At 37.3% G+C, this 23,054-nt stretch overlaps 1 long non-coding RNA gene across 5 annotated transcripts in view, besides 1 other annotated feature; it reads right to left on the bottom strand.

Moving 5' to 3' along the window:
- LOC105373438 (uncharacterized) overlaps window positions 1-23,054 on the bottom strand; it is a 220,483-nt gene that overhangs the window by 63,937 nt on the left and 133,492 nt on the right. The window lies entirely within an intron of this gene.
- Window positions 17,378-18,286: an enhancer, noted in NCBI's record as "OCT4-NANOG hESC enhancer chr2:13816299-13817207 (GRCh37/hg19 assembly coordinates)". NCBI's record gives its function as "activates a minimal SCP1, AML or CMV promoter by ChIP-STARR-seq in naive H9 embryonic stem cells {active_cell/tissue: H9 hESC(naive)}" and the evidence as "EXISTENCE:reporter gene assay evidence [ECO:0000049][PMID:30033119]".

The following is a 23,054-nucleotide window of genomic DNA, read 5'->3' as shown; positions in this document are numbered from 1 at the left end:
CATTTTATGTAAAATATAATACTTATATAATACATGAATAAGTATATATAATATATGAAATATTATATTTATACATATATAATACTTATCTGTACTAATTTATAAGTTTATATTTATACTTATATATAATATATGAAATAAGTTTTATATAAAATATTATATTTATGTATAAAATAAAATGTATAAAATAGCATTGTATATTATAATTATTATATAGTATTTATATATTTAGTAGTATATATTATTAAATATATTTATTCTTTATAAAATAATGTTATATTTTATATAAAATAAGACATATTTATTTATAAATAAAATTAATAAAATAATATGTTTATTATACATATTTATTATAATTATTAGATAGTATTATATATTTATTATTATATATCATTAAAAATATATGTATAATATATTTATTATTTACAAAATAATACATATGTATATTTTATATAAATATTATATTTTATGATTATATTTTATATAAAATAAGATATATAATATACATTTAAGACATATAATATGTTATATATACATTATATGAAGATAGATACATTATATATAATAATGTATTATATAATAAGTATTATATTTTATATGAAATAAGATATATTTTATATCTATATAAAATAAATATATTTTATACTTGGTTCTTATGCTAAAATCAGTAGTCAAGTATTCAATTTACCAAAAGATTAAGTATTGTCAAGGATAAAGGCAGTCACACAGCAGAATATGAATCCCAGATGGACTCCTTATTAGTTCTACGCTTGGACAAGTTTTAAAACTTTACTTATTTAATACTTATTATATATTATATTAATATGTATACATATCATATATATATTCTCAAGTGTATGTACATTCAGCCTTGATAGGCAGAATGTCTTAAGATTCCTGTTTTACAAAATCATCCATTATAAACCCTAAGGACTTCACCTTTTTGTCAATTTCCATCCTTTTATTTATGAAGCAAAATTAAGGGTAAGAACAAGATATGCGGATTGCTAATAAACATTTACAGCCACCTCACCCTCGATAGTCTATACTACTTAGGGTTTTAATATTCTTACTTGTAAAATATCCAATGTTCAAAGCATATTTGGGAATTAATTTTATATTGGGTAGAAAACAACAGACAATTTTTAGAGTTTAAAAATTAGGAATGTGAAATGCACCCATGCTTGTCTCATGTTTACCTTTATTCCCAAAATCTACAGCAGTCTCCATATATGAATATTTGATCAAAACATTTTTATCATATAATTAAATGAGAAAATTTGAAATACAATGTTCCTGAAGCATAGTAGAGATACAGAATACAATCCCCTTTCTCACCAACTTAATTTTGTTCAGTATTTGTGAAATTGTCTATAAAAATGTGTAATATTAGTCAATGGGATGGATATAAAATATAATAAAATCACTTACATAATTAGTATAGCCGGGGATTCAAACTGCATTTGTAGATATGTTTGCCTTCTAACATTACCTTGTTATTTTCATTTCAATAGGTAGAAATTGTGCTACACTAATCACTGTTAAAGCTGAGTTTGTACATGGCAAATAAATTAGAATATATGTAAAGTCCAAAACCAAATTAGCAGGGAAGTAATATAGCAGTACATAGCCCATCGAGAAAAGCAAATAAAATCATTGGACAAGAGCCTTCTAGGAAAAATCAGAGTGATTACATGAATAGCAGATGAGGATGACAATGGTGATTAACCTGATAACTGTGTAGATAAGAGGAGGATAATATTACATAATAAAATAAGCTATACTTTCACCTCTTTCCTATCTTTGGTTTCTGAAGTGAAGTTGGTGAATTTCCTAACAACCAAAGAGCAAACTTAGGACTGACAACATACTGGGAATGTAGTGGTTGGGAATGAGGATTGAGGGAAGGGATGCATTTGAGAGATGCTTTGATGAAAACCTTGCCTACTTCTTCAGTCATCAACCAGCCAAGTTCCTGTGCACTCATGTATCAATCCATTATCACACTGCTATAAGGACATACCTGATACTGGATAATTTATAAAGGAAAGAGGTTTAATGGACTTACAGTTCTACGTGGCTTGGGAGGCCTCACAATCATGGCAGAAGGTGAAGGAGGGGCAAAGACATGTCTTACATGGTGGCAGACAAGAGAGCATGTGCAGGGGAACAGTCTTTTGTAAAACCGTCAGATCTCGTGAGACTTATTCACTATCATGAAAACAGCACAGGAAAAACCCACCCCCATGATACAATTTCCTCCCACCAGGTTTCTCCCATGACACATGGGGATTATGGTAGCTACAATTTAAGATGAGATTTGGGTGGGGACACAGCCAAACCATATCAACTCACAAATTGGGATTTTAGCAACATAAGCCCTCACATCTCTCAACATTCTTTAAAAGCTAACTGCTTTATACATATTGATCACATTAAACCTCAGAACACTACTTGATAGGTAGCAGTAGTATTTCTGTTTTACAAAGCAAGTCATAAGAATAATAATAAGTGGATTAAGAAAGCATAGGTTACTTTTCCTAGGTTTCAGAGCCTTCACTAGAATAAAGCTTCATGAGTAAAGTCATGTACTTAGTCATGATAAAATAGTGACTCTCATCTACCAACTTGGCATGTAGTGTATGCCGATATCTGTTAGTGACTTCTCTGTTTAAGTTGTGTCTCATTTGATGTGTGATTAAAAGTATAGACACAGAGACTTCTTCACATTTCACGTATCCTATGGAGTGCTGGCAGAAATGGAACATATGTTGGTACTTAGCAAAGAGAAGTGTATTAAAAGAGGCAATACCTTAAAACGGTGACCACTTAGTAAAAACATGAAAGACTGTGTCATTCCAGTCATTACCTATTCATTAGAAAAATAAATATTAACATTAATATAAACAACTTATTAATGATAATACAAAAACCTTAACCCCATTAGAAAAGAAATATATGATACTCAAGCTCTTATGGACTAGGAACTGGATAAAGTGCTTTATAAACATTATTTCATTTAGTCATGGCAATAAGCAGAATCACCTTTACCTCTGCTAAGATGCTATCTTTGTGAATACCTGAGGTATTTTCTTTCAGTGCCTTTGAAGTCCAAAAAAGATGATTTTAGCATTCTGTGGAAAGTGAAAGTGGAGTCTCTCCTCTTCCTGGATAATGCTCACAAACTGTTTGATATCGCTGCTGTACTGTCAAGAGATAACTCCTCCTTATTGTACAGGAGGTCAGACTGAAGTGGCTGGAATGCAGAGTAATGAGACTAACATTCCAAGGTCACTGTCCAGCTGCCTAATTCTTAAAACTTCTCCAGAAACCAGATGCAATTTCATGGCATTGATAAATAAATAAATCATGGGTAAAATTATTTTATTTTATATCTCTTAAAAAGTATAATAAAGAGCCATTGCCATTGCTTTTCTTAAGTAATAACAGTTAAGATGCTTTCATGTATCAACAAGTCTACCCTATGACTTAGAATTTCTATTTAAATTTTGATCTTCCTTTCCTTAAAATTATCTGCATAAAAATTAGCTGTCAGATTTCTTTTTTCCAGATGCATACAGTGATCCTCAAAGTTATGTAGAGCCTCATCAGTATGTGGTTTGCAAAGAGCAGTCACGGTTTCTACCATTTCCTTATACTTAGTGGGATTTGTGGGCTTTGAATGGTCACAATAATCAAATGAAGTTCTTAACTGCCAGAAAGAAAGCATACGGGTCCAGAAAATTCCTCTGCAAGGATTACACATGAAGACCATCTCTTTCACCAAAGCCTGTAAAGCACATAAGTGAATGCATATTAATGCAATGGTTTTCCTATTTCCTGATGGCACCAAAATTACATGGGTACATCTGCCATGTTTCCAAACTAATGACCAGGAACATCAATTAAATAAATAGACCAATGAGATAGGATGTTTCAGCCAACCCTGTTAATGTTATGGATAGGAAGTGAAGGCTACTTACTTAAAAACCATTGAGATGGCCAGGCCTGGTGGCTCATGCTTATAATCCCAGCATTTTGGGAGGCCAAGGTGGGCAGATCACCTGAGATCAGGAGTTTGAGACCAGCCTAGCCAACATGGTGAAACCCTGTCTCTGCTAAAAATACGAAAAAAAAAAATTAGCCAGGCATGGTGGTGCACACCTGTAATCCCAGCTACTCAGGATGCTGAGGCAGGAGAATTGCTTGAGCCTAGGAGGTGGAGGTTGCAGTGAGCCAAGATTGTGCCACTGCACTCTAGCATGGGTGAGAAAGCAAGACTCCATCTTAAAAAAAAATCATTGAGATGACTGGACTAGGAAAATAGTGTTCTCTAAAACTGCATCTCACACAAATTTTAGGGGCAGGAAGCTAAACGATGGTCCTCCAACTGCTAGCATTGAGTGAGGGACCCCTGCGATGCTTAAAAAAAATGTTGTCAGTACTAAATCTCACAATGCTGTAACTAGGGCAGGTGTTGCTTTGGAAGAACAAATAAAGAAAGTGTCACCAAAATCTCAACATGCCAAAGCGACGAATAAGTTTAGGCTTATTTATCAAGGTTGAAAAGCTGGTAGCAGTAGCATTGGGAAAACATGGTTAGCACAAGGGAATGGTTCTTGGGTAATCAAATCACCACCCGAGAAAATTGCAGTGCTCCTTTACTTATCATTTGGCCTAGGGTTTCTAACAGGGTTGTTACACACAAAATCAAGGAGTAATATTTATTGGTTTAAATGCTGTTTAATTACATATTTCTCAAAAATGTATAATAATTGAAAAGAAGATATTATTAGCTAAATCATGTATACGTTATGTTCATAATTTAATCATTGTAAAAATAACTTCTACTTTCACCATTAGTGCACTAGAGCATGCAAATTCTAGCTAGTTCTTGTAAATTTCACAGCATATTAAACAGGTAATATATATTGTCTTAGAAATATGAAAAAAAGAAACTCAAAATTCTAACATGTATGCTATTGCAAAACATAACAATACAGAATCTATTTTTGCTAATATTTCTATAAAATATATTCAAACTATTCCATTGCTGCGCTCTGAAGATTTCAAGTCGTGTATCATTGAGCTTTGAAAATAACAAATATTGGCTCACCTTCTGATTTTTCTCTAACAAGTTGTATATGCTGCAGCATTTTAATTAGATTCTTTGAACCTGGTTTTCCATTTAAAAATGTAAATAATATTGCTTACTTTAAAAGGTTGATTTGAGAATAAATAAGAAAATGTACACTGAGGTTACAGCACAGTGCCTGGCACTGAATAGATGCTTTAGTAGTGCTAGTAATTTCTCTCTCCATTCTTTTTAAAAAAGGTTGAACAGGTGGGTGTATTATAGTATACAAATGAAAAATTTCAAATAATTTAACATAAAAAACTCACATAACATATAATAAAGTAGCATGATATCATATAAAAATTATACTTTGTTTGCAATAATGGTGAAAACTAACTCTACAAACTGAAAGGGAAGACTTTAAATGAAAACAATCATATGACATAACCATTAAACCAAGAAAGCTAGAGACATACAACTGGGCTCAGAAAGATTGAATTCAGTTCTGGCTACTTCTCTATAAGAAGAATATTAAAGGATGAATTTAAATGTGTAAAAGATGGCAAGAAATTTACCTCCAGACAACGAGTGTGAGTGGCACCAAAATATCTTAGAAAACAACCAATAAAAATATCAACTCATTGGATATTTTAACACCTCCATCTCAGCCCCGACCAGAACACATGTGCACACATGCACGCATACACACACATACACACACACACACACACACACACACACATGCAGATGTGAAATGGAAATTTAGATGAGGCTGAAAGTGAAGGTAAGGGATAGGGTTTGGTGGGGAAGGGAAATTAGGATTCTTCATCCAATCTATGTCTATCCCAAGAGTGTGGAAAGACCCTTCTCAGTTGCAAGATTATGAACCCAAAGTTCCATTTCTCAAAGTTTTGTTGTATTGTGTATGTCAAGGACAGTCTTTCTCTGATGTACTCAGAAGATCTAAATCATAAAAAGCTATTTATCTAGTGAAAATACACTGTAGTATAATAATCTGTTATAACATCAACCCTCTTGCATGGGAAAGCTTTTATACAATCAGAAAACATGCATTGAAAATAACCATTGAATGAAATTCCTTTATAAAATGTTTAAATGTCCCACCAGGTAACCAAATGTACCTGAAGCTTTAACTGTTTTCCCAGGAATATGGGGCCAACCATTGGTTATAAACTATTTTAGTAATTTGTAAGTTACCACACCAATATATTCTATTTGGATTACTTTATCTTCTCCATGATGAGTCATGGAATGCAGAACTTTTAATAATAAAAGTTTCAGGACTCAGGAAAAACAAGGTAGTCATCCTGGTTTTCCATGAGCCCATGCTTAATTAACATTAGACTTATATCCTCTTGAATACCAGTTGTTTTTCCAAATTAAGTGCATAGCACTGATAAACAATGGGTTATCATAGGCAATTTGACTTAGACCGTGGAATTTATTCAAATTGTATATTTAAACAATTTCAGTATCAGCTGGTTTAACATAAAAATCTGACAAACTATTTTTTGGTATTTAATTTTTTATTCTACTTGGTTAGCAGCTTTATACAAGGTAATTTGGTTATTCTGTGGTTTATAATAACATAATAACCATAATTACACCACATAATTAGACATTAGAATTTTAGAAATCCCATACCATTTTGGAACATATATTAATATTATTCACAATAATATAACCTAAAGAAGATTGAATATCATTTGGCAATCCCACGTAGCTAAACATGTTGAATAATTCAGTTTACCTCTTTTCTAGATGTTTTTTGGGGGCCTTCTGATTCATCCAAGGAGCCAGGCATTAGGAAAGACAATTTTGAAACCGATGTTTGATTTTTGGAAACCTGCTAACTATGTTAGAGGCTTAAAACACTCGATGTTATGAAATAGAATTCCAGATTACTATAAATTACTTATTTTGCCAAAATGATGACTCAAAAGGCAAAAACCTTTCATTAGCTTTTACTATTACATGAAAATCCTGATCAAAGCCAAATTTTACCCTTGAATTAGTTTAACAATATTGTTTTCTTTCTCTCTTTTTCTTTTTCTTTTTTTTTCTTTTTTGAGATGGAGCTTCTCTCTTGTTGCCCATCCTAGAGTGCAATGGCATGACCTCTGCTCACCACAACTTCCACCTCCTGGGTTCAAACAATTCTCCTACCTCAGCCTCCTGAGTAGCTGGGATTAGAGGCATGCACCACCATGCCCAGCTTATTTTGTGTTTTTAGTAAAGATGGGGTTTCTCCATGTTGGTCAGGCTGGTCTCAAACTCCCAACCTCAGATGATCCACCTGCCTCAGCCTCCCAAAGTGCTGGGATTACAGGCATGAGCCACTGCACCAGGCCTAGTTTATTAATGTTAACCCCAATTTTTAAAATAAAACCTTATAGAGGATTCCATCTAATCTTAACCAATTTAACTTTGATGTGAAGTCTTTACAAACCTTTTATAACCTTTTTGCTAAAGGACAGAAGAGTGTCTTAAGACAACCTTGCTGTGTGTTTATTTCAATGCTCAATTTATGAAAAGATCCTATAATACCCTTTTGAATTTAGTTAATGTTTACACATGGGAGTTTTGCAAGATTAATTTTTACAGTCTTTCTATAACTTTCTTAAACCTTCATCTTTCTTGTCTAATTTAAGACAATCCTTCATGACTAGGCAAAATTTACATTTTACATTTCCTTGGCTTATAATATTTTACTAGAACACATTCTATTGTTTTTACACATCATACATGTAAATTTACTTTTAATAGTTTAAATTACATGTTATGATGGTAACTTTTATAAATTTTTAACTTTAGTGTGAAACCTAGTAACTTATTTTGATTACATATTAGGCATAGAGAAAGTCTATTTCCAGCCTATTTAGGGATGTGGTTAATTTCATATGTCCCTGGGCCTTACCAAGTTGTAAAGCATGCAGTTTACAGCCTTGAAACACTTAGCAAACCTAGTGTCTGACTTATATGACTTAGACCACCTATTTACATTTTGATGATATATGTGTTTTACCAACGATCTCTTAAGACTTTTTTTGAATGATTAAAGTCACATAACATAAAAGGCATTACAGCTTTTATCTTTCCTTTAAAAAATATTTGATTTAAGCACTTATTTTTATTTATTTATTTATTTGTTTTTGAGATGGAGTCACCCAGGCTGGAGTGCAGTGGCGTGATCTTGGATCACTCCAACCTCCACCTCCCAGGTTCAAGCAATTCTCCTGCCTCAACCTCCTGAGTAGCTGGGATTACACATGCACATCACCACCTGGCTAATTTTTTGTATTTTAGTAGAGACAGGGTTTCACTGTGTTGCCCAGGCTGGTCTCAAACTACTGAGCTCAGGCAATTCACCCGCCTCGGCCTCCCAAAGTGCTAGGATTACAGGTGTGAGCCACCTAAGTGCTTATTTTTTAAGCCAATTAATTATAGCTTCGTTTTTATAGACATTACACACTATATATATATAGAGAGAGAGAGAGAGACAGAGAGAGAGACAGACAGACAGTCTGAAGATTTAGTGTTTGTAAGATTTTTTATTTCTAGTTTCTTAATTGGATTACTGGCTTCAGGGTGGAGCCTTTGGAGGAACAGGGCCAGGAAAGCATGCATCTTTAGGGCTTAATAAGCAGGCACAGTGAAGCAAAGGCAGATCGCCAAAATTAAGTGTGCTATTTTATATTGGATCTTGGGTTCCCAAAAGGAGGGAGATAGTAAGGGAGAAGACAGTGCATTGCTTCTACCATTCATTTCATTGCAAGGCAACCCAAAGCCAATCAATCAATTTTGTAATTAGCCCATCTGTCATGGAAGTCTCATCTCTTAATAGGTGGTGGGGATGTTTCCATATATTTCAGGTGGCCAAAACCATGCTTCTTCAATTCAAATGTGCAAAGAGTTAAGTATCCCTTCATAGTTACTATTAGCCAACACTTAAAGTATATTTTCTACCTAGTTATTACACACCAAAGTTCTCTCATAATGCAAAGTAATTTCTGATGCCCCAAAACCTTAAAACCATCAGATAACACAATACAAAACAGAACAGAGCCTTTGATATTGAGAGGGATCTATTCACTTTTAATTCTTGAGGTTTCATGAGGAAGACAGAGTTTTTTTTTTCCCAAATTGGGATCTGTGGCACCTCCTCTGTTTTTCCCAAGGAGTCCCTGGCTACCAGAAGTTACCTTGGGGCCTTTCATTTGCATTAAGAATGGCAAGAAATAACTCAGTCGACTGAGAAGAAAAAAAAAAAACTTTTTTTCCAGAAAAACAAGATTCAAGAAGAGAAAAACATAAAAAGTCCTTTTAAATATACCTATAACAGATATCCACTTTTAATTATGCTGAGCACTCTTTAAAAAAATCATTTAAAATCCCTTGTTACTTGACTTAAGCCACACCAACCAGTTAAGATTTTTGGCTTTTGAACTTTACAAAAAGTACCCTTATAGGTGAAACCAACAAGCATTAATTAGATTATGACTTACTTGCGAGTGTACAAGGTATTTTCAAAGGAGAGGGTAAGCAGGTTTTGAAAACATCATTGCAAAATTGTGACTGAGACAGTGAAAGAGATCCAACCCAACAAACTCCATCATGCTTCCTGCCCTCAAGATGTCCTTGCCTATCCCTGGGCGTAGGCTGAACTAACTCTGGGAGGAGCCTGGTTTACAGTTTACAGTCCAAAACAAAGATGATAATAGCCCCTTCCTAAAATATACTTCCCTCTTGCCTGGGGAACAGATAATGAAACTAGTCACAAGATTAGAGACCATGGCTTAGGAGTCACACAGATGAAGGCTATAAGATTTTGACCCTCCCTAAACTACTCTCAAGATCTGTGCTTAAGATATCTTGTAAACCTTATACTTAATGGATCAGCTGGGACCACCCAGATTGATAAACTGGCTTATCTGATTTTGTAGCCCCCTCCCAGGAACTGACTAAGCACCAGAAGACAGCCGCCATTGTAAAATGGTTGAGACTAAAAGTATTTCCATGTGATTACAGGTCATGTTCCCAAGGACATGATACCAGATGGAGGCCTGTGGCCAAATTTGTTACTGACCACTTTGTTGGATTGGCTTGAACAGCAAACATATGGGGTCCTAGGCCTGCATTCTATCCTGAGGTACCCTTTCTTTTGACAGAACTGTACAGAAAGACACACAAAGCACACCAGATTGGCTATAGCTTAAGAACAACCTCACAAATACTTTTTCATTAATTAAAACTTTACAGAGGAGATAAACAGTGACTTTTACTTTTCATTTAACCAGTCTGCACAGAGAGAAAGAGGCCAGAGACTGGTAAGAATTTTTCACCCTTTTGCCAGCATGTCAGGTTTCTGGGTTCTCTCCCTAAGTGGCCCTAGTGACCCTGCTGGACTGTATGCAAACAAACACATTGCCATGAATTAAAAATATTTACAAACAGTTTACAAATTTTGGAGAAATTAGGCAAAGAGAGAGAAATATGACTTAAATTCTATTTTTAAATTCTATTTATGAGAGTATACTGAACACATTTAAAGTATCAGGAAGCCTAAATCCAAATAGTTAGTTTAAGGTTAAAAGGCTAGTGTGCTCCATTAATTCCTCTGGCCCCAACAAATGTAGCTTAGGAATTCCAGATAAATGGAAGAAATAATGACTTCACTAAGGGATTTAAGTATGAAAAAGTTAATTAGCCAAATGTCTCCAATTCCCTATTAGATTTTAAAGAATGTTTTATCATCCAAAATTTTCCTCATCTTTCTCCTTTAATAGTTCCTTACTACACTGTTCCATAAATAACATTTTAAAATCTGTAATTTGAACTAACTATTGGATAACTTCCAAATTAGACAAAATTAATTTTTCTCTGTAATAATATAACCCTTTTTGGCACATTTTGTATACAGAATTACATGTTAACTAGAATTCTTATCCTAAAACTTTAGTTAAACCTGAAAAAGCAAGAAGTCTTGAGATAACATTTTCACAATTTTAGAAGCATATTTCCCCATATTCCAAACCTTTCCTAATCAGAAATGACCCAGATATTAAATGAATGTCAAAAATAACTTTAACATTTTAATTTATACAAAAGTTTACCTAAAACATTTATTGTTGGAGGCTGAAAGAATGAGGGTCGTGGCCAACTCAGTATACCACTGGAGGCTATATGAGCAAACAGCAAACTGTTCCCATGAATGCAGGATGTTGGCAAGCTGACAACTGCGTCTGCTGCCAGAAGGAATGCTGAAGGCATTCACGCCCCAGGGGCAGTGTTCCTTGTGGTTATCTATAGGAACATCTGGGGCCTGTTGTATAAATAAAACAATTATGAAAGCCTTTGATAAATCAAGCAGCTGACCAACCATTACCTCTTCCTCTCTGTTGATTCTACCTAATAAATATGAAGGGCTGTAGAAGCTCAGGGCCCCTGTTCCCTAGAAGCAAGGAGCCCCTGACTCCTTCTTTAAAACAGATCCTTTTGTCTTTGTCTTCATTTCTACCTTTGTCCTCCTTTGTTCAGTCCCAAACTGACAGCCAGAATTTATCCCATTCATTGTACTAAATTCTTCCACTTTTAATGAGGGAGACACCAGACATCAATCAACATATGTAAAATGAACACTGGTTCTGTCTGAAAAGGGGAAACAACTCGAAGAGGGGAGGGAGCTTGGGGGCTTCCAGGTCATAGGCAGGTGGAAGAAAAATGGTTGCATTCTTTTGAGTTTCTGATTAACCTTTCCAAAGGAGGCAATCAGATATGCATTTATTTCAGTGAGCAGAGGATTGACTTTGAATAGAATGGAAAGCAGGTGTTAGAAATGCTTGTTTCCTGGTGCCACAGAGAAATAGCACTCAAACATAAATTTATTTCTCTCAGCAAGGCCATTTTTACTTTCTGCAAAAAGGGTGCTCATGGCAGATGGAACAATGGTGAGAGCCCGCTTGAACAAAGGAAAAGCAGACATATTTATCCCTTACACATTTGGGTTGTCCTTACTGCTGTGTCCTACATCCATTGGCTGGTGCTGGACCTCACAGTCTTAAACTGATAGCTGATTTGCTAATAACCTAAAATTTTCCTAAACAGGTAAGTGCAAGGGAGAATAAAGCAGGAGAGGAAGTTGCTTATGAAAGGCTTAAGGAAGCAATAACATTTCCAAATAAGGAAGGGGCATAAGCTATGAGCTAAGACTTGCCTGGGCCTGCCAAGACATGCCTGACTAAGACAAAGCAACTAACTGGGCCAAAGTGTAAGAACTAATAGTTGATAGGAGGCTTTAGAGTAAGAAGCTATTATTTCTAGTGTCTGTTATTTTATTTTTAAACAAAGACAAGCTTTGAAGAGGAACTTTTCTACTTTCTACAATTTCCTCTTATTTTACTTCATAGTTCCTCTTCAAACTTGTTTAACATGTCTTGGCTTAGTTGTTTTGATTAACTCCTGGATGTACAGTACAACATAACACCTAAGAAGAAGGAGTATACTTATAGTTGTTATAGAGGTAAGAATTGAGGCTATGCTTTTTTTTTTTTTTCTTTTTCTGGTTGATGAAATGCCAGGGTAGAAGGGATAGCCAATTGAACTAGGGCATAAGTACTGCTCTAATTATTTGGCAGAGTGTCTAGTAAAGATCCTCCATAATACCACCATACATCCTTTTGGGGATGAATAAGAACGGACTGATAGGTCAGCTCTTGGAAGTGCCTAACTTCACTGCATCCTGTTAAGTCTCCAAGGAATGCCAAAATTTTCCCCTTGTCATTGGAGACACGAGGTAAAATTGGTCTTGGAAGATGGAGGCTGGATGGCCCTCGGGGGCTGACCCGCAGGGTGTTGAACTTCAGGAAATAGCAGAGAAAGAGCTTGGCACAATTTGTTATTCCAGGCAGTGGAATCTTGAAAAAGAGCTACCGTGCAATCCATGTCTGCTTGGTTTGAGGACCATCCCAGTGGAAAAGGGACAATCTGGGCCTCTGGTCTACTGTGTGCACAAGTGTAACAGTTGCTTTTATTTGGAGTGCAGATGGAATATTTAATCCATTTTAGCCAGGCATTTACATCCTGATACCCTGTCTTAATTGTTATTGTTTGCTTTAGGTATTTTACTTTTGCTATAGAGACTTTGGTCTTGTCAATCTCCGTAAGGTATAAGGAAATAGGCATTAAAAGTAATAACTTGAGATGAGTTAGATCTAGTTATATTAATAATAATAAGATGGGAAGTAGTTAAAAGGAAGAAAAGATAGCTAGATTATGTTTTCTTAGCTTTAACTTGGTAGAGCTTGACCCTGGAACAATGGCCCATGACTCTGATGGTGATGACACTTTATTGACTCGGGTATGATGTGTCCATCCTTTTCTGCTGTGCGAACGGCAGTCTTGGTGGTTAGCAGCACAAGGTAGGGTTCTTCCCAGGCTGGCTTGAGTTTCCCCAGTTTCCACCCTTTTCATGATGATGTGGTTCTTAGGCTGGTGCTGGTTTACTGGAAATTCTAGGGGTGGTACCTGTGCTAAAAGACTTTTGGTTTTGAGGGAAGGGAAAGTGGAAGAGAGACCAAGTATACAATTTTTAGTAAATTGATCCTTTGTTTTAAATACGGGGACATTAGCAGTGGACTTTATACTCCCCAGTGCCTTCTTGCTGAGACATTTCCTTTTCCTTAGTTTTACTTATGTCGTCTCTGAGGGACCCTTTGGGGCTCCTTGATGTAGCTGGAACAAGATTTCCTTTATAAGGGGTTTGGATAACATTTTTCAACCTTTTAATGTAGGTAAAAATCCACATTCTTATGCCTCCTTAAAATCCTTTTACCAAAAGTATATTTTACTTTCCTTACACACCTTGCATATAAACTGTTTTTTCAATAGTTTTACATTCAGGAGGCCTAATTTCTTTTAAATTGTACAACATTTCTTGCATAAATTCCCTTTTATAACTTTTCATGACTTTCACAGACAATCTTTGACATGTCTCAACTTTCTGACTTGTAAACATCCCTTTCTTTAGACAACCAGTTAATTTATTTTAAGACAAGAATTTACCATATGACATTCTTTTTACATAAATTCTCCCCCCACCCTTTTTTTTTTAAGATGATAGCCATCCTTTTCCAAAGCGAACTTCCTTCATGTTTGTGGACTAGACTGCCTAAGGCCATAAAATTAGAAGTTAGGATGAATACATATTACACTGTTAACTTTTAGCAAATTTTACTTTTGTTGAAAACTTTGTGTTTGGGATTTTAATTATCCTTCGCAATTAATAAGACATCATTTAGTCCAAATTAACTTAGAATTGGTATAGATGGTTCCTTCCTGGTTCTGTAAGTACTTTAAGGCTTGGCTGAGTACAAACAGCTCACACATTTGAGCAGACCAATTATTAGGCAATTTTCCTAACTTCATTTCTACAAGAGTTTGTTTCCCTATCAGTTACTGGATACCCATAGTGTCTTCTTCCCTCAGTCACCCAGGAGAAACCGTCTATCATCCTGCCCTGAAGGGAGTTCCTCCTAGGTCTGGTCAGACCTCTGTATGGTCATTAATTAAGGTTTAGATCTCCTGTTAGAAGACCTGCTGAGTTAAGGGAATTATCAGTGGTTAATGTTAAATCATCTTTTTCTAACAGAATAGCCTCATACTTTAAGGTTCTTGAGTCAGTAAGCTACTTTTTCGCTTTTGTTGACTTAGGATAGTTCTGACCTGGTGAGGTGTGCTCATAATGGGGTTTCCTTTAAAAGTTATTTTTCTACTTTCTTCTGTTGGCAAAGCAGTTGCCACTACAGACTGAATGCATTTGGGCCATCCGTGGGTTACTGGGTTAAGAATTTTTGATAGGAAGGTTATCACAGAATTTTTGATTGTCTGTGGCCTCCATGCTTTCAGGCTACACCCTTGTTTATACTGACAACAAGGTGGAATGGCTGCTTAAGGAGGGTAAAACTAGGACAGGGGCAGTTCAAACTAATAGATGTTTTAACCTTTCCACCTGTTGGATTTCTGGTAATCACCAAATGAGGAGGGGGTTTTTCCAGTCTTGCATGAGCTTCTTGTATAAGGGTTTTGTTTTTAGGGCATAAGAATCTATCCATAGATGACAGTATCTGACTAATCTTAAAATTTCCTAAGTTCTTGTTTAGTCCACGGCAGAGGAAAGGATATGATGCCTTTAATCCGTTCAAGCTCAATTAGCCATTTACCTTTGCTAATTAAATGACTTGTTCTAATATTTGACTAAATAAATTTGAAGACTCCATAAACCCTTGGGGTCAGAATGTCTATCAGTATTGCTATTTTTGACTGGAGTGAGGGTCTTCACACTCAAAGGCAAATAGGTCCCAGTTGTTCTCTGCTAACGGACAAGCCCAGAAGGCATCTTTTAAGTCTATTACTATAATGACAGGGCGGGTAGTTTGGACTATCTGATTAATAGCTCGAAGGTCTTGCACTCACCGGTGTGACCCGTCTGGCTTCTTTACAGGCAGTATTGGAGTGTTATAGGGTCACAGAGAAGACTTTCAATTATCAATTATAGGTTTTAAATTTACCCTGGCTTTTAAAGGAATAGGGTACATTGCTTTCTCTTTACTACTTCTGTCTGTCTCTTTTTCTCTCTCTCTCTTTGACTCTCTGTCTCTGTCTCTTTGACTCCCTCTTTGTCTCTCTGTCTCTTTTTCTCTCTTCTAAGATTTTTTTTTTCTTCCTATGGGTCTCCTGGCTTTACTCTTTCACCCTTTATATTGCCTGGAGAGTTGGGTTCTGTGTTCTTTATAGGTTTTGGCCCCCTCGGTACTTAGGCTGGTAGTGAGTGAGCTTTTGGGATGATTCCCAAGAGGCAGGGTTATAAAGAGGAGGACAACAGGGATAGGAGAAGGGTCTGGGACAGCAGCTGCTTTTTCTTGATTTTGGTCCTTTCATTATCCTTCTAATATATTAACATACACCCTGAAGGACTACTAGAAGAAATCTGATCACCTTCACCTTTCCCTGAGTCATCTTTACTCCCTGTCCTTGTTTTACTAGAAACATTTCCCATGTTGGGTACTTGTCAGGTTCAATCTCCTGAAATTACTGGAAGGCTCAACCCCTCAAACCAGGGATGTCTTGCCTTGCCTGCCCCAGAAGACTCAACCCCTTAAACCAGGGATGTCTTGCTTTGCCTGCCCTGGGAGGTTGAACTGTTTCCTCACTTTCCCCCTCTGAAGGTCCCTCGCACACTTCTCAGTCATGTTATCCTCTCTGGCCACTCCCCAGAGGGAGAATTAGGCCCCTCTTAGCATTGGCACGCTGGTATAAATCCCACAGCAGGATCCACCCTAAGCCATATGAGGTAGCTAAGAAACTGCAGAGAGGACCTACTCACTCTGTCCAGCAGTAGGACTTGTCACCATCCACACAAACAACACCACAAGCAGGGTTGTCTGTGATTATTCATGCACACACACATTCAGCCCTCCAGAATCTGACCGCCAGGGAAGTACTTTACTGGCTCCTGTGGCTTTTGCTTCCTTGCTCTGTACACAGAGTTGTTGCCGCGGTATGTGAGAATCCTTTACCCCAGGTTGCTGGCCGGTTTCTTTCCACATTGCTGAGAGTCTGGGTTTATTTGTCACACTGGGTGGGTCTTGATTCCTCACCCCTGAGGCCACCGAAACAAGGTGACGGGACACCTCCTCATGAGAGAGGACTAGAGACCACTGCCAGAGGAGAACGGGTCCCCATACGGATTGACACCAAAATTGTCAAAATTGTTCCATCTGCGGGGAGCACCCTTTCGGCAGAAAATAAAAAGGGCCTTGTGGAGAAATCCTTTGTCTCCATGCTGACTTTTCTTCATGGCACCGATTATCTATTTCTAACAGCAGGTTTGTCTAAGCATTCCCAGCTTGAATTTTCCCTTCAGCTTCGTGATTTTAGAGGCCCAAAATATTTTTCTTTCATAAATTACTCTCATTCATCCAAACAAAACACACAAACAAAGATCATTTTGTTTTCGCTGGATGTATAGTTTTACAACCTTCTCTGCCAAACACTGAAATGTTAAAATATCTAGCAAAGACAAACATAAAATTCAGACAAAATGTGTGCTGACAATTCTGAAGGCATTTCTATTTTTATTCTACCAATAACCGTAAAGCCAGCTTGTTTAGTAAAGTTATACTTAAGTCAGGTGAACTTGCAAATTGCTTAGACTTATTTTTTTTTGCACTCTTTTACTTATAAACCAGTTTGTGCTCACAACACATAACAATAAGTGTACATACAAACAAACACATTTAGACATGTATATACACTCATAAACAAAGACCCAATAGCTTGGAACCTTAGCCATGGGATAGCAACACAAGCTTGCAGATTTTACCTTGTTTGTGCCAATAGATAATCCAATGAGGCTGTGAACCAAAATTACAGGTAAAGCAGCCTCCATGGCAGTTTGATTTTTAAAGGCCAAACCTCCCTTTTAAAGGCCACCTATGAAGGGGAAAATTTACATCTCAAAGTTACAGAACTTAGATCTAAACAAAAGCATGGTTTGTTACATAAACTTTAAGCCATTGTCTTCCCCGTAGAGTTCCTAGTGGTTTCAGTGCAGAGACAGAAATGCCCTTACAAATGGGAGATTTTCTTTAAAGATGTAAATTTCTTTTACAAACAATTTAAAAGAGTGATTTAGTTTGATAGGTAGTCTTTTAACTTGGCTTGTTCCTTAATTAGATTACTAGCTTTAGGGTAGAGCCCTTTAAGGAACAACATCAGGAAAGTTTTAGGGCCAAAACATGCAAAGAGCCAAGTAGTTCCCTATAGTAATAACCACTTACAAACAACACTGCTGTCTGCTATGACTAACACTGTAGCTCACATGACTAAAAGCCACTATACACCAGAGTCCAGTCCTCCCACAATACCAAGCATTTTCTCATAGCTCTGAAAAGCCAAAGCAATCAAGTAACATAATAACAAAGACCAAAAGACCGCAGAGCCTTAGACCTAAGGGGAATTTGTCTGCTTACAGTGCTTGGGATTCCCTGAGGAAAAACACGTTCCTCCAAACAACAGAGTCTTTGGCACCTTTCTGTTTTTCCTAAGGGATCCCAGGCTGTCAGAAATTTCATTTTTTAAGGTTCGTCTGTCCTTTGGCATCAAGGTGTTACAGGTAGTTAGACACACATGAGCAGGGCAGGAGAGGGCTCTTCCCCCACCCACTAGGAATGTCAAACGATCATTGGGTATGGTTCGACAGTTATCACACTGCCTCCCTAAAAATGATAATTTGGCAGCTGGCGCCAGGGAGAGACAATCTCCTGATGGTCCACAGCTGCCACATTAAAGTGTTAATTAAATGTAGGCACCAGAGAGAGGCAACTTCCTGGGCATGTGCATTAAGAGACAAAATGGCAAGAGTAGGACCTTCGGGGGGTATACCACTGGAAAGGGAAGAAAGTCTCACATGGGCATGCATACAATTTCCAAAACACACTGCCCATGCTCACGCCCAAAGCCTAAGAAGGGCACTGTGCATGCCGGCAGCCCACCCAAGCAAAGAATCATGGGAAAGCGGTGCAAGATGCCAGGAGAGGGTCAGCATATAAAGTCATAGGATGAAGGTTAAATGCTGCACTTGATGTTCACAATGCTCGCTTGGGTGCCTTCCAAGTGCACCTTCCTTTCTTTCATGTTCTAAAGCTTTTTAATAAATGTTTACTCCTACTCTGAAACTTGCCTCAGTCTCTGTGTTTTTCTGCCTCATGCCCCTCACTCAAATTCTTTTTTCTGAGCAAGCAAGAATTGAGGTTGCTGCAGACACATATGGATTCACCACCAGTAACTTGGTGACCTTCCATCCCTAACAAAGGGTTGTAAGAGGAAGGAGAGGCAGATAGAAGCAAATGGAGAAGCAGATAAGATTCAGTTGACTGAGATGTTTTACAGAGAAAGAAAAAGGGTATTAAAAGAATACCTATGTATACATGAATAGCCCAAATGTCAGTTTTAACAAAGTCGACTTTTGTCTATAGAGTTTTTTAAGAATAACGTTTTTCTAGTTGTAATTCCTACTGAAGCAATTTTATTCTGCTTCTGCTGCTACCTGGGCTCCAGCACCAACCAAGCAGCCCACAGAAGCAACCATCCACTGCAGTAGCCGCTGGCTGCCCTTCTTACTGCATGTGCTGTCTCTCAGCTAACAATCACTGAGAACAGGAGTACAGATGACTCTAAACACTTCACATTTTCAGGGCATCTCCATACTCACCTACAAGCATTCGAAAGGTGAGCCATGCCACTCAACATCGAAGTGGCTGCCACCTGAGATTTTGCCTAAAAATGCCTCAGGTTGTTGTGCATTTCTTGGTCTCTCAGTTCCTGGCTAGTGCTTGCCACATGTTTCACAGTTGGTGGGTCTATGGAATTGAGCTTCAGGGCCCAAGGAAGCTGAGAGGGCAAAGAAAGAGGGTGATAAATCCAGTTTCTTAGTAAGGAACATTTAATAGAGACTTATGAAGCGATGTGTATTTTGGTCAGTGATGAGATGAGATGGTGGATCCCTGCCTTTTTCTTATTATTTTTCATGTTGGAAGCTTTATGTAGTGAATTGAGATCTTTCATGTTTCATAATGTAGGCATTTAATTTTATAAAAATCTCACTAATCACTACTTTAGTTGCATCCCATACATGTGGCTGTGTTGTGTTTTTTCTTTTCCACTAAGTACAAAATAAAATGAATTTCCTGGGCAATTTCATCCTTGATCTAGTTTTTAGAAGTATATTGCTTAATTTACAAGTACTCAGGAAATTTCCAGATAGCTCTTCATTATGGTTTCTAATTTAACTCCATGTGAACACAGTATAAATTCAATTATTAAAAACTTGTTGCATCAGGCGTGGTGGCTGACATGGTTTGATTGTGACCCCATGGAAATCTCATCTTGAATTGTAACTCCCACAATTCCCAGCTGTGATGGAAAGAACCTGGTGGGTGGTAATTAAATCTTGGGGGTGGGTCTTTCCTGTGCTGTTCTCATGATAGTGAATAAGTCTCACAAGATCTGATGGTTTTAAAAATGGGAGTTTCCCTGAACAGGCTCTCTCTTTGCCTGCTGCCATTCATGAAAGACATGACTTGCTCCTCCTCACCTTCTGCCATGATTGTGAGGCTTCCCCAGCCACATGGAACTGTTAAGTCCATTAAACCTTTTTTTTTTTTTTTTTTTGGTAAATTGCCTGGGTATATCTTTATCAGCAGGATGAAAATGGACTAATACAGTAAATTGGCACCAGTAGAGTGGGGTGCTGCTGAAAAGCAGCTTTGGAATGTGAAAGCAGCTTTGGAATTGGGTAACAGGCAGAGGTTGGAATAGTTTGGAAGGCCCAGGAGAAGACAGGAAAATGCAGAACATTTGGAACTTCCTAGAGACTTGTTGAATGGCTTTGAACAAAATGCTGATAGTAATATGCACAAGGAAATCCAGGCTGAGGTGGTCTTAGATGGAGATGAGGAACTTGTTGGGAATTGGAGTAAAGTGACTCTTGCTGCGTTTTAGCAAAGAGACTGGCAGCATTTTTCCCCTGCCCTAGAGATTTGTGGAACTTTGAACTTCCAAGAGATGATTATCTGGTGGAAGAAATTTCTAAGCAGCAAACCATTCAAGATGTGACTTGGGTCCTGTTAAAGGCATAAGGAAAACAGAGCATAAAAGTTTGAAAACTTTGCAGCCTGACAATGCACTGGAAAAGAAAATTCCATTTTCTGAGAAGGAATCCAAGCCCACTGAAGAAATCTGCATAAGTAATGAGGACCCAACTGTTATTCCCCAAGACAATGGGGAAAATTTCTACAGGGCATGTCAGAGGTCTTCACAGCAGCCCCTCCCATCAAAGGCCTGGAGGTCTAGGAGAAAAAAAGTGTTTTTTGTGAGCTGGGCCCAGAGTCCCAGTGCTATGTGCAGCCTACGGATATGGTGCCCTGTTTCCCAGCCACTCCAACCGTGGCTGAAACAGGCCAAAGTAGACCTTGGCCGTGGCTTCAGAGGGTGCAAGCATCAAGCCTTGGCAGCTTCCATGTGGTTTTGAGCCTGCCAGAGCATAGAAGCCAAGAATTGGGGTTTGGGAACCTCTACCTAGATCTCACAGGATGAATGGAAGCACGTGGATGTGCAGGCAGAAGTTTGCTGCAGGGGCAGGGCTCTCATGGAAAACATCTGCCAGGGCAGTGTGGATGACAACTTGCACCATGTACCTGGAAAAGCCACAGAAACTCAATGCCAGCACATGAAGGCAGCCAGGAGAGAGGCTATACCCTAGAAAACCCATGTTAACCCACCTCTTGTATCAGCATGACCTGGGTGTGAGACATGGAGTCAAAGGAGATCATTTTTGAGCTTTAAATTTGACTGCTTCATTTGGATATTGGACTTGCATGGGACCTGTAGCCCCTTTGTTTTGGCCAATTTCTTTCATTTGGAATGGCTATATTTACCTGATGCCTGTACCCCCATTGTATCTAGGAAGTAACTAACTTGCTTTTGATTTTACAGGCTCATTGGTGGAAGGGACTTGCCTTGTCTCAGATGAGTCTTTGGACTGTGGACTTTTGAGTTAATGCTGAAATGTGTTGAGACTTTGGGGACTATTGGGAGGGCATGATTCGTTTTGAAACGTGAGGACATGAGATTTGGGAGGGGCCGGGGATGAAATTATATGGTTTGGCTGGGTTCTAACCCAAATCTCATCTTGAATTGTAACTCCCACAATTCTCGTACATTGTGGGAAGAACCTGGTGGGAGGTAATTGAATCATGGAGGCAGGTCTTTCTCATGCTGTTCTCATGATAGTGAACAAATTTCATGAGATCTGATGGTTTTAAAAATGGGAGTTTCCCTACACAAGCTCTCTCTTTGCCAGCTGCCATCCATGAAGACGTGACTTGCTTCTTCTTGCCTTCCACCATGATTGTGAGGCTTCTCCGGCTATGTGGAACTGTTAAGTCCATTAAACCTCTTTCTTTTATAAATTGCCCAGTATCAAGTATGTCTTTATCAGCAGTGTGAAAATGGACTAATACAGTGGCTCAAGCCTGTAATCCCAGCACTTTTGGAAGCTGAGGCAGGAGGATTGCTTGAGCCCAGTAGTTCAAGACCAGGTTGGGTAACATAGTGGAACCCCATCTCTACAAAAAATATAAAAATTGGCCAGGCATGGTAGTGCATACCTGTAGTTCCAGCAACTCAAGAAGCTGAAAGAGGGGAATTGCTTAAGCCCAGGAGGTGAAAGCTGTAGTGGGCCCTAATTGCACCACTGCACTCCATCCTGGGTGACAGTAAAGCCATGTCTTAAAAAAATCCAAAAACAAAAACTTGTTGAGTGTTTTTAATCCGCTACAATATTAGTGAATATTCAATGTACATGTGAAAAGAAAGTATCTTTCTTTTTTACTGTTTTTCTATCTTACTTTTTTCAGGATAAAGTGTCTTAAAAATGTCAAATGGGTAAAGTTATCTATTAGCATATGAAATCCTATATGTCCTATATATTCTTACTCATTTATCTGTTTACTTTTTCTATTAAACACTGAAAAAAGTGTAGTGAATTCTCAAAAAGTAATTGTGAATTTTTCTAATAATTCTTTTATTTTATGATTTTTTAATTCATGAATTTTAAAGTTTTGTTGTGTGACATATACATACTTTACATTATATTTGTATTGACTATTAATATTTTAATATTGATATGGTTGTATTTTTATCTACCATTGCTAGTTGATTTCTATTTGTCTTTCTTGCCTCTTTTAATCTGCACTCTTTGCCATTTTGGATTGTGGTTTTTTAATGAATTCATTCTATCTCCAATGTTAAGTTATTATTAGTTTTTATTAATATATTTTTATATATTTAAAGATAAATGTATTTAACTTACTATAAAGAACTATCAAATGATATTATA

The sequence above is a fragment of the Homo sapiens genome, chromosome 2, assembly GCF_000001405.40.
Source record: "Homo sapiens chromosome 2, GRCh38.p14 Primary Assembly".
Classification (NCBI taxonomy): domain Eukaryota; kingdom Metazoa; phylum Chordata; class Mammalia; order Primates; family Hominidae; genus Homo; species Homo sapiens.
This window is presented reverse-complemented; position numbering and strand designations above follow the sequence as displayed.